The sequence below is a fragment of the Homo sapiens genome, chromosome 8 (genome assembly GCF_000001405.40).
Source record: "Homo sapiens chromosome 8, GRCh38.p14 Primary Assembly".
Lineage (NCBI taxonomy): Eukaryota > Metazoa > Chordata > Mammalia > Primates > Hominidae > Homo > Homo sapiens.
The window spans coordinates 131,116,240-131,129,365 of NC_000008.11; the positions used below are offsets into that span (position 1 = coordinate 131,116,240).

Consider the following 13,126-nt stretch of genomic DNA (forward strand, 5'->3'; position numbering starts at 1 on the left):
GTTGGTTGCTTTTTATTTTTACTGAGTCTATTATATGTTTTTGCACTGTGGTTATACAAACGCTTATGAAAACATTTTATAGATATAACAAATTATTTTTAAAAGATGACAACTTATCAGAGATCACAAATACAAGAACAGAAACAAAGGCAAAACACACCTACAAAATTCAATGCTTGAACTCTTTTCCCCCATGTTTTGACGTTTAGTTACCTCCATTTATACCTTTATATTACCTATGTCTTATCAAGTTCTTGCAACTATTACTGTTTTTGATATATTTGTCTTTTGGACTTTATAATAGATTTATGAATGGGTTGCTCTCACCATTACAATAATAGAGCATCCTGGGTTTGTTCTCTTAATTTTACCAGTCAGTTTTTTGCATGAAAAGTTTGCTTTTTACACATAAGTCTTTCTTTTTTCAGATCAAAAAACTCCTGTTAACATTCCTTTGCTCATGCTCAGCTCCAGCTCCCCATTTTTTTTTTTTTTGAGACAGGATCTTTCTGTGCCTTCCAGACTGGAGTGGGGTGCAGTAGCCCGATCATGGCTCACTGTACCCTCAGTCTCCTGGGCTCAGGCAATTCTCCCACCTCAGCCTCCTGAGTAGCTGGGAACACAGGCTGTGCCACCACACCCGGCTAATTTTATTTTTTTGTAGAGATGAGGTCTCTCTGTATTGCCCACACTGGTCTCCAACTCCTAGGCTCAAGTGAGTTTCTTGTCTTGGCTGCCCAAAGTGCTGGGATTACAGACATGAACCACAGCACCTAGTCTCAGCTCCCTCTTATATATCAATACTTCTTAGATTTGGGCTTTTGAGGGAATTTTTATATCTTGTAGGCAGTGTTTGTTTCTTTTCATTCTTCTTTTTTCCCTCTGATTGTGTATTTTTGAATGACTGGTCTTTGAGCTCACTTATTCTTTCCTCTGCTAGGTACATTCTGCTATTGTGAGACTCTAATGAATTCTTCAGTTCAGTAAATGTGTTTCTCAGTTCCACAATTTCTGTTTGAATTTTTATTTTGTTATTTCAGTCTCTTTTTTAAGTTTCTCTGATAAATTTCTGATTGATTTTCTGTGTTACCTTAGAAATCATTGAGTTTTCTTAAAACTGCCATTTTGAAAGCTTGGTCAGAGAGCTCACAAATTACTGCTGTCTTAGTATTAGTCACTGGATTTTTGCTTGTCATTTTGGGGAGGTTGTGGCTTCCTGCTTGCTCTTATTTCTTGTGGGTATGTGTCTATGTCTTTGCAGTGAAGGATCAGTAATTTATTGTAGTTTTCTCTGTCAGGCTTGTTTCATTTTTTATTGGATATATTTGCTTAGAGAATCTTTACTGCTAGGTTGCTGCCTCCTTTATGGCTCTAGGTGGTGGCATAAGCCTGGGTTTGCCTTGGCTTTAATAAACAATGAGAGAGCTGCCTGTTCCTGAATGGGGGAGGTCGCAAAGGGATTTTCCTGGCAGTGTGTCAAGGCTGGCTAGGGGTTAATGCCAAGAGGACCTGTAGGATGTAACTCCTATAGCATGGTGCAGCTCAACAGCCACTCTGATTTGGGACCTCTTTTGGCCAAGTAAGACAGCAGAATTTCCAGGGCTGGAGATGGTGGTCCTACCTCCCTTCTTTGTCTCTGCCTGTTTTCAGGAATATGTCTCCTTCAGGTAGTCACAATGTTTTCTGTGCGCTAAGGAAGGGATGGGTCTCCTGCCAGGGCACCCAAGATGGTAGGAAAGCTGGTTGATCATCTCCATCTCACTTTTTCCAATGTAGAAACCATGAATTGGGGGAAGATTTTCCACGCATTTGTTGCTGGGCAGAATGTGGGTGAGGGTCATCCCAAATGTGGAATTCTGATTCTCTTTACCATCTGCTCTGGGTTTTTCACTCCTTTGTGGGAACAGAAAATGGTCTTTCCCTCATCTCTGAGTTCTGAGTTCTTGCTTGTGAAAAATCTGAGCACTGTATATCTGATTTTGGTTTTCTCTGGGGGAGTGAAGCCAGCTTTCTTCTACACTGCCAGTCTGGAATTAAAAGTCAAAAACATAGCATTCTTTTCACTTAATTCATCCTGAACCCTCCTTTCCACCTAATAACCTCTTAAGTTTCCCGTGTTTAGTTTAACATACATTGGGAAATGCTGGGGTTGGAGAATTTTCAATGTTCTTTTCAATTCTAAAATTCTACTGATCTATTTCAAGATAGCAGCCTGTGGTCTACCTGGAGAACCCTGAGTTGATGCTAGTTGTTCTTGACCCACATTTTGAGGATTTCTTTATTATATTTTATAGCTGCTCTTAGGTTGCTGAAGCAGGTTATTTAGAAAACACTAACTATCCTCATCAGAAGAATCTCCTGAAAAGCAGGTCTCTGAGAGGCTGTTTCAGTGAATGATCATTGAAATGAATCCTGTGTCCACTCATTCTGAAGGAAACATTTGTAAAGAGGAATTGTATCTCAGAGGAGGCCCTGAGGTTCATGGGGGTTCCTTGCTGCAGAGGACTTTGCAGGAGATGAGAGTGGAGAATTATTTATTCTATTTTAGTGTCTGGTTTGGGGGTGTGGGGAAAGATTGTGTTTGTGGTCTTGAACACGTGCTCTAAGACACTCATACAATAAGGACTGAAACCTTTTAGGAAAGAGACTTTAATTAACTCACAGCAGGCAGTCTGTTCTAGGAGGATGTGTCTTCTATCTTTGTTTTTTTACTTTGTTGGGTCATTCTAATGAGCCTTATTAATTTTTAAAATTTCCCCTCAAAGCTTTTCTGGGTCATTGCTGTAGGGTTTCTCTGTGACACAGATCATGTGTAATGAGGCAAAGGGCAGCTGCAGCTCTTAATCTTCCACTGGGCAGCACCTTTAACTTTAAGTTCATTAAACAGTGAGTTGTGGACACAGACCCAGGGCAGACTTGTGTAGCAGTCTTTTGTCTTCACAAGAAGCTGGCTTCAGTTGGTGTGGCTCTCTGAGTTTGGATTCAAAATTGTTTTGTGTGAAGATGATGGCAGAGAGAAGCTGATCACAGTGAAAATGCAGGACACGAGCAAACTTTGTTCCAACATGGGCCCTGTGATCTCCCACCTTGGGCTTTGAGCAGAGTTCTCGTCACTGGGGATTTGGATGAAGGCCTGCTCTTATGGAGCTTGTATTTTTATGGCCATGGTTGGGATAGGGAAGAGGCAATGGAGAGATAATGCACAAACAAATAAGTACGTAAATACGATAATTTCAAATGGTTATAAATGCTGTGAAGAAAACAAAAACAAAGAAGAGGAATTATGAGATGGCCAAAAGGTGATCAGAGAAGGCTTCCTGAAGAAGGGGCTTTTGAACTGATATCTGCAGGACAACGAGGGGTAATATCTTCCATGTGGAGGGAACAATAGCAATTGTCCTCACTTTGGGATGAGTGTGTCAAGTTTAAGGAACAAAATGATGTCCAATGTGGCTGGAATTTATGGAGTGAGTGAGTGGTAAGATTTTTTGCTTGTGCAATCTGAAGCCATTGAGAATTTTAAGCAAAGTCATAATACAATGGGATTTATGCCTTAAAATGCTCTTTCCCGCTGTGAGAAGGTAGACAGCATAGGGGAAAGAACAAAAGCAGTGAGATAAGAGAGATGTATTGATAAAGTAATTAATGCTGGAGAGGAGGTAGCCTGGACTGGTGACAGTAAAGAAATTAAAATCCCAAGTAGATGATGTAGTGTTTGCCACAAAAGCAGTCATTGTGATTAATTATTGTTAACATTAGTATTTAATGTTTGTCTCACTCCATGCCCCAGAGAGTTTTAAGCTGACCTCATATCTCTCGTGTTAAAAGGGGGCAAAAAGTGCTTCTGGAAGGAAGTTCTTTTCTTGGTCCGGGGGCTGTCAGTGACATGTCAAAGAGGTCAGAGATGCCATGAAAGGAGCCTAAGCTAGTTCAGGAAAGCACCTGGAAGCCCCAGTGGTCCATCTTATGGCTCCTCATGCCTCTGGGCTTAGCCTAGAAGAAGAGCAGTGCTCTAAAGAATGCATAGGCTCTAACTGGCCCAGAGAAGCTATGTGGGGCATGTCTTCTTTCAGGCTATTACTGTCCTTGTTGAGAATATGTATAATTGCCTATAAATAAACACCTTCCAGAACTGCTCTCATACAATAAATCACTTTAACCTCCACTATATCTTGCATCCTTTTGATTTTTTTAATGAAGGACTCCATTTTTAAACACTTATTTTATCCAGCTCAAAAATCACAGGGACAAAAATTACTTTCGACCTTGTTTTCCCTAGATTTGTCTGCAAATGATTGAGTCCCAGGATCCTCTAGGTAATAGATTGCATTTTTCCTACCATATCTTTTATTATCCATCCATGATAACCACGTACTACTTTTACTTTTGTGCTTTTGTTCATATCCTCCTCTCTCTTTCTCTACCTGAAAAGAAAGATGGGAGAAAATAATAAATCTGCCTAACCAATGGGATTAACATTAGTGTCAGGTCGTTGCTTCTTTCCTTCAAGAACATTTTAGCAACAGCGGACCAATGAACTCCTAGAGGGAATTCCTTGCAGCGATATTGGATGAGTCCCAAATATGCTTAGTTATTTGAATATTTCTATTAAAATATCAAAACACCATTCTTCTTGCAGTCTTCATTTCATGAGTTATCCCCACACACATTCGTACAACTCTGATTAAGGAGCGTCAATGTGACAAGTTTTTTTTTTTTTTTTTTTGAGACGGAGTCTCGCTCTGTCGCTCAGGCTGGAGTGCAGTGGCGCAATCTCGGCTCACTGCAAGCTCCGCCTCCCGGGTTCACACCATTCTTCTGCCTCAGCCTCCCGAGTAGTTGGGACTACAGGTGCCGGCCACCATGCCCAGCTAATTTTCTGTATTTTTAGTAGAGACAGGGTTTCACCGTGTTAGCCAGGATGGTCTTGATCTCCTGACCTCGTGATCTGCCCGCCTCGGCCTCCCAAAGTGCTGGGATTACAGGCATGAGCCACCGCACTGGGCCGTGACAAGTTTTTTTTACTAGTGATTCCACAAGGGATTTAAAGTGGATTTATTTATTATTTTGTTACTATGCTTACTTAAGACAGAGAAGCAGCAAGGTGTAGGGAAAGAACAACAGATGGGGAGACAGAAAACCTCAGCTTTAGCTCTGACTGTGATTCAATAAACTGTGTGGTCTTGGACACAGAATTTACACTTTCTGTATTTCCTTTCTCATTTGAGAAGACTTAAATTTTACATCTAATCCTCCATGCGATGCCAACATTACAGGACACTAGGGTTTATCAACTGACTTCTTAGAGGACTGCTATCAAAAGCTCTGGATTTCTATGAAACATTAAAAACTCGTAACTATGGAGTTCTTCCCTTCACACCATAATAATAATAAAAAAAGCATTTTAAAGAAAAACAAAGAGAAAGGCACATAGCCTCTATGCAAAACCAGTTATCAGGCAACTGGATTGAGATAGTTTGGGAAACGCCAGAGAGAACATTAGAGACACTTATGAATGACCCCAGAGAAGGCACTGTTGGACACTCTCTGGAGCCTGGAATGGATCCAGGCAGAGGTTACTGAGTGTCCACTTTCCTCCCACTTTCCTCTGGGGAAACTTAGGAGTTTTTCCAGCCTCTCTCAGCAGAGGCAGAAGGGAGATGAAGGGAAGAGAAGCTGGCATTCTAGAAGCCATCAAAAGACGAGCTAATATGCCAGATATTGGCTTTCAGCATCTTGGCTTCTTTCACTGCAGTCCTAAACTGGCCGACAGGGACATTCAGTGATTCTCTCAGGCTAGAAGGGCAGAGGAAGAGGCAGACCATGGTAATCAAAGCAGAAAGACAGTCCCTTGGCTTGTCGATGGGGTGCATCTGGCCATCTGGCATGGCCAGGCTCTCCTTTATGTTTGCTGTCATATTTCATCATCTCTGCAACTCTGTGAAGTAGATATTTCTGTACTATTTTTACAGATGAGATGGTGGCTCACAGTGGCTTGATACTTTACCCAACTTCATTCAACTGGGAAGTGTTTGAACTTGTGTCTGCCTAAATCCAAGCATGTGCTGCACTCTCCGTAGAAGCACAACGCTTCTGGAGTTAGCATTTCACCCCAGAGATCACCTCCTTTTACTGCCCTTCTATGACTTTCAGCTGGAAATGGTTTGCCTTCCCTACCAAGACCCCCTTAAGACCTTTCTATAAACCCTCAATGGGCATCATTTACTTCTTTATTGGAAGTTTAAGATCTACAGGTTTTAATTTGGGCATACGGGGAGAGAGAACATAAAAATAAAGAGAGACAGAGAGAACATGAGAAACATCCTAATGCCTCTGCTTTTGATCCAGTTGGGTTTCTGAGGCTTAATAATGGCAAGTGACCTTTGCTGTTATAATAAAATCCAAACCCCTTCCTGGGCCCTACAAGGCCCCCTGCGGTCTGGTTTCTGGCTGCCTCTGTGTCATAAACATTGACACAGCTTGTTCTTGCCCATTCTTCTCCAGACACAAGATCATCATTCAGCGCCTCTAACATGCTGAGCTTGCTCCAATGGCAGAACCTTTACAATAGCTCCTCCATACCCTAAGTCCTCTTTGCTTTGTATTTCAACACCTGGGACTTTCCCCAGTCTTCTTATGTCCTCCCCACTCTGATCTTTATATGGCTTAGAACAGCTTCTTTTCCTTTAGATATCAGTGTCAACCCCCTCTGAACACTTCAACAATAGCCAGTTCCAAGCATATCATCCAGGTTTCTTTCTCTCTTTCTCCCTTTCTCCCTCTCTCTCTTTCTCTTTCTTTCTCTTTCTTTCTTTCTCTTTCTTTCTTTTCTTTCTTTCTCTTTCTTCCTTTCTTTTTCTTTCTTTCTTTCTCTCCTCTTTCTTTCTTTCCCTCCCTCCCTCCTTTCCTTCCTTCCTTCTTTCCTTCCTTCCTTCTTTTTCTTTTTTTTTTGAGACAGAGTCTCATTCTGTCACTCAGGTTGGAGTGCAGTGGTGTGATCTTGGCTTGCTGTAACTTCCGCCTCCCAGATTCAAGCAATTCTCCTGCCTCAGCCTCCTGAGTAGCTGGGATTACAGGTGCTCACCACCATTCTCTAATTTTTGTATTTTTAGTAGAGATGGGGTTTCACCATGTTGGCCAGGCTCGTCTCAAATTCCTGACCTCAAGTGATCTGCCCTCCTCGGCCTCCCAAAGTACTGGGATTACAGGCGTGAGCCACCATCCCTGGCCTTTTTTTTTCTTTCAAAACATGTATTACCGTCTAAAAATATATTTTTATGTTATTTATGTCTCATGGAACTACTGGGGGAAAAGAACACCGCAGATATCATCACTTTATTTTACAAGTGAGAAGACCTCAAGTTCAGAGAGCTTATGAGATCTCTCCAACGTTAAGACTCAAACCTAGTCCACTGAGTACAAAGTGCTTTCCACATTACCATATTGCCTGCCCTGGGGAAAGGTACACTCTTTGGGAGCTTACTTAAATTATTTGTTATTCCTTTTATGACTATATACTTTTGCTTCATTCTCCGCTCATAAATTACATCTATATCTATATCTATATCTATCTGTCATCATGCCCTTCATAATATTTCAACGTAGAAAAATGAGATCAATGCTGAGTGTGTGAGCAAATGCATGCGCCTCCGTGGCTGAAAATCCTTCCTATTCACACCTTCCTATTAAGATCCCAGTGGACATTATGTTGGGTAGGAGTCATTATTATATACATCTCTGGGACCTAACACAGCAGTAGGCACAGAATAAATGGCCAACAAATGCTTATGGAATAAAGGTATGGTGGACTGCATGTTGTCCTTATTACAAGTGATATTTCCCAAATTTCCTCTAAAGTCATTAAAAAAGAGCTTTTAAACTCAAGACATGTACCATAAAGTTCTTCCAAATTTAAGACTAGACTGAATGATGCCTGCTTCTCAGAGTAATGAGGACTGAGAGGTACCTCTATTTTTACGTTTCATGGCATGATGAGACAGAGGGGCATATGTTTCCAGACAAGACAAAAAGAGTCTCCAAAAGCCCTCCTGTAGGGCAGAATTAAAATACATGCAACATTATGGTCACACTAGGAGTCATAACACTAGCTGGTCATCAAGCATAAGAGAGAATGTGACCATCTCACACCAGTGATTTTGGGTAACATTTCAGAATTGAAGAGGATTCTGGATTGTACAAAATCTGTTTTATCCCTTGGGTTCAAGAATGGCTTGGATGGTGGTGTCTGTTTAGCTGAATACATAGGAGCCCTCTGGTGATTTCTGGAGGGGTGTGTAAAGATGCATACAACGGATTCTGCTGTAGGAGAATGTGGGGTCTATGCATGGAGAGGACACGTGTGGATGGAGGATGTTGAAGGGCAGTGTGGTGTCTGTTTTCAGCTTTTGCTGTGGTTTGCTAACCTGGAATTGAAGTAGCAGAGCAAAGCTTGATGTGAGTAATATGTCTGTGTAATTGGGGAAAGATTATGGGTCAGATTCCATATGGCTTAGAAATTTCACTGACTCTAATTCCTAACTTCACGTCTCCTAGCTAAAAGATGCCAACAGATCAAAGATAATGAGGAAGAGTCATCTTTACAATCCCCTCCTGAATGTATGATTCCTGTTTGGCTTAGAGGAGTTCAGAGACCACAAAGTGTAGGAGTGTATAACTTGTCTAGATGTATTTTAAATCTCTTAGTAAGAATCAGAGAATGTCAGAGCAAGGAAAACACTTAGAATGCACAGAACACTTCCACTTTTAAAATTTTTCATTGAGAAGGAGAGTTAGGCCCTGACCTCCTCTGAGTAATACTTTAGCCAGCAGCCACACGTGGCTAGTCTGAATTGAGATATGTCAAAAGTATAAAATACACATCAGATTTCAAATACTTAGTAAGAAAAAAGTTTGAAATATATTGTTAATAATTGTTAATTGATTATTAAAAGTAGCAATTTGGATATATTGGGCTAAAATAGAAACAATTTAAATTTGATTTTATCTTTTCCTTTTTACTTTTTAAATATGGCTACCAGAAAATTTTAAATTACACATGTGGCTTGCATTATATCTTGGGCTGGCTCAGAAGAAAACAACTTGCCCGCAGCCATGGAACTAATCAAAGTTGAGACTAGAAACTAAGTATCTTGACTTGGTCTCTCTTTCCCCTTCCCTCTCCTCTTTCCTCCCTCTCTCCTTCTTCTTGGTCCTCTTCACACTTGGTTCATGGTAAATTCTCATCACCGTTACATGCTAGGCCTCTCCTGATTCTCCATCGATCTGTTCTTCCTCACAGCCCACTTCTGCCTCTGCCCTCAATATTGTTAATAGCAGTCAGTTTTCTAAGGTGGGCTGACTCTAGCCCTAGAAAAACAGCAAAATCTGCTCCTTAAATTTCAAGGCATGTTTGGGACTGTGGCAGTTTCAAAATTTTGGGTTCCTTCAAATCTGCACTTAAAAATATTTGTTCAATATTTATTCAGTGAAATAAAAGATAGATGACAATTTTATTACTAAAATTATTTACTATTTGCTTTTGTTCCAAATAAGGGATTTATGACATACACATGAATGTGAAAAAAAGATGTCTTATTTGAAATGATATTTTATTTCACAGTGTTTACAGATTATAAACTTTTAATTTACTTAGGACTATAGGAAAGGCAAAGTACAACAAATTTCTGAAATCAAATGGGGAAGATAGTTTACGTTATAAAGCTTTTACAAAATAGTACTTGAAAATATTATAATTTTATTACTTTCAAGCATATAAAATTATTTCCACTTTTTAAAAAGCAGCTTTTTTTGAGATATGATTAACATACCACACAATTTATCCACTTAAAGTGTTCAATTGTTTTCAGCATATTTACAGATATCTGTAACCATTAAGACAGTCAATTTTATAATATTTTCATCAACTCAAAAAGAGAACACGAATCTTTTATCTATCACCTGTCTATACCCATTCCTTCGCAGCCCTAAGGAACTATTCTTTTTTAAATTTTTATATTTTCAATGTTTGTGGGAACTTTTTATTGCCATAGATTTCCCCATTTTGGACTTTCATATAAATGGAATCATATAACATGGCATTTCACGGTTTTTGTATCACTCAAGAGAAGATATTGGTTATTCATTCCTCTAAAGACAAATGCTGCATACAAATGGATTCTATTACAATAGCAATATTTCATGCATTAGTTGCTTTCAGCATTTCAACTGTAACAGTTAGCTCCAAGTAACTGTCATTCATATTGCTGCCTCTAGTGGCATAATTTAATTTTCAGTGCCGTGCTGCAAAATTTCTAAACAGATATAATGAACAAAGCACCAGTAAGAAGTGTTCTTTTATTTTCTCTTTAGAACACCATTTTACTGGTGGAAGTGAAACTGATGTAATTTTCTCCAATCCTGTAAGTTCTGGATAAAAACTTGAGTTTACTGGCAGCTGTTCTATTTCAGTTCTGTTTTACTGACCTTGGAGACGGATGCTCCAATGACCACCTCCTTATTCCACCTTAGTGTGTGCTAAGCTTTTGCTTTCTATGAACATGACTATCCTCCTTTCGAACTTTATACTCCTGTAGTTCCAAGCTTCTTCTTGTTTCCCAACACTCTTTGTTCTTTTATGTGTCAGGGAAATAAGAGTCATTAAGAAGTTTTAATCAATGAGGTGATATAGTCAGATTTGCATTTTTGAAAGATGGCAGGCCATTTTGGAAGAGCAGGAGACCAGCTGGAAACCACAGAGAGGTCTGAGCACAAATAGCAGATGTAGGATGGAGAGACAGAAACCTTTTTAGCGGCAGAAATTGATAGTTGTTGCTGATTAAACACATGAGGGGCACTACGAGCATCAACGGTAACGACCAACATTTGGTAAATGGCGTCTTCCTTCGCTGTCATAAGGTTTGCAGGAGGAGAAAAACATTTGGGGTAGAAATTGTTTATTGGTTTAGCCTGAGTTTAATGGGCCTGAGTGACATCTGAGAAGTGTTGAGTTGGCAGTTGGGTATACACATCGTAACTCAGAAGAAAGATTTTGGTCAGACACATATTCACCAGTATTCAGCATATTGATGGTTGCAACCACCCAGGGAGAGTAGGGAGAGATTTCTGGGAAACATCCACTGGACTGATAAAAGAAAAACTTCAGCTGAATTAAATTTAAAGGAGTTTGACTGAGCAAGGAACAATTAGCAAATTGGGCAGCCCCCACAATCACAGCCGATTCACAGAGACTCCAGCGCAGCCATGTAATGGAAGAAGATTTATAGACACAAAAAGCGAAATGAGGTACAGAAATCGGAAGTGAGGTACAGAACAACTGGATTGGTTACAGCTCCGCTTTTGCCGTATTTGAACACAGTTTGAACACTCAGCAGTGTATGAATGGTTGAAATACGGCTGCTGGGATTGGTCAAGACTTAGCTATTGTTGCAGGTGCATACTCCTACCTAAGTTAAGTTTTCAATCTTGTCTACCTATTAAGCTAGGCTGCAGGTCATCCACAAGGACTCAAATACTGAAGTACGGAATCCTTCTCAGGCCATATTTAGTTCGCTTTAACAGGACTGAGGTTTAAAAGATGAGCAGAATAATAGGAAATAATAAAAGAAACAGATGATTAGCCAGAGGTTTGGGGAAACCACTGAAAGAATGTGTTGTTGTGGAAGCCAAAGGAAAAAGTTACTTTAAGAAGGAGGCAGATGTTCATGTAAAGTAAGGTAAGGAATGAAAACGCCATTGGCTTTAGGTCTAGATTTTTGCTGAGCTTGCTTAGGGCAGTGTAAGTGGGAAGTGGGCTTGACATTAGATTTCGGTGAATTAAAAATTTCAGTGAGGTGAGGAAGTTGTGACAACGAGTATAAGCAAGGTGGCTACATAGGTTGTAGTTTGAAGATGAAATGGAGTAAAATAAAATTATTTTTGAGTCGGCAGAAAATGCCCATAGCATCCTATACTGGCCTCTGTCATAGAATTTAACACGTTGAATTTGTGTCTATCTCCCTGTCATTTGCTCTTGAACTCCTTAAGGATAATAATTCTGTTTTTTCCATCTTAGAATCCCCAAGTCTCCTGACACATCATGAGCAGGCAATATTTTATTGTTGTTGCTAATGGCTGTTTAATAAAAGGATGAATAAAAGGGAAATAGGTGCATTCTTATGCCTGGATAGGCTGCTCACTTCTTGGCACTGCATTTAAAAGGAATAACTATCAAATAGCTATCAAATATCAAAAGAGATTGCTCAAGGTTTTCTTTGCTGTAACTTGACGTCTTTATCTGTTTTAATTTCTGTGTGCTTAGTGCTTAGACATGATGTCCAACACACAGCAGGTATTCTTAAAGGGATTTTCACTTGAAATAATAGTGATGTGACTGAATGGACAATGGATGCAGAGTATATGCTTAATCTGAAATAGACCTGGGGAAGAGAAGGTTCACGGGTTCACAGTTACTTTCTTGAAATATTTCAGGGCCTGTCAGTTACAATGAAGGATAGGTATCTTTTCTATGACCCCAAGGAATAGGAGTAGAACAAAGAAAGGAAGTAAGCAAAATATGTCAGCAACTTAACAGAATTATTGTTCATGTCTGTGTATTCTGTTTACTTTATTTCAGCAAAATAATGATGCTTTTGTAATAAAATATTTATGTTATTTGTGTTCTACTGGCAGTAATATTCTAAAAAATTAAAATATAAAATAGAGTTCTATTTGAAGTATATACAAGTTAAATATATTTTCAGAAAAACTAAACTAAATGTAAACTAAAATGTAAATTATATTTCTAAAAGTGTAAATATTAACAAAATTAAAATTATTTTGCATTCATTTTCAAAAATTGTCTTACAAAGTATTTCTAATTTTTGAGACAGAGTCTCATTCTTTTGCACAGGCTGGGTGTGCAGAGGTGGGATCATGGCTCACTGTAGCCTCTACCACCTGGGCTCAAGCAATTCTCATACCTCAGCCTCCAGAGTAGCTGGGACTACATGTATGTGCCACCTCACCCAGCTAATATTTTAGTTTTTTATAGAGATGAGCATCTCACTATGTTGCTCAGGTGGTCTCAAGCTCTTGAACTCAAGCCATTCTCCCACCTTGGCCACCCAAA

General features: G+C 39.5%; 1 long non-coding RNA gene across 2 annotated transcripts in view; it reads left to right on the forward strand.

The window, feature by feature from the left end:
* Positions 1-13,126, forward strand: part of LOC105375760 (uncharacterized) — a 257,327-nt gene that overhangs the window by 76,718 nt on the left and 167,483 nt on the right. The gene's annotated exons all lie outside the window — the stretch shown is intronic.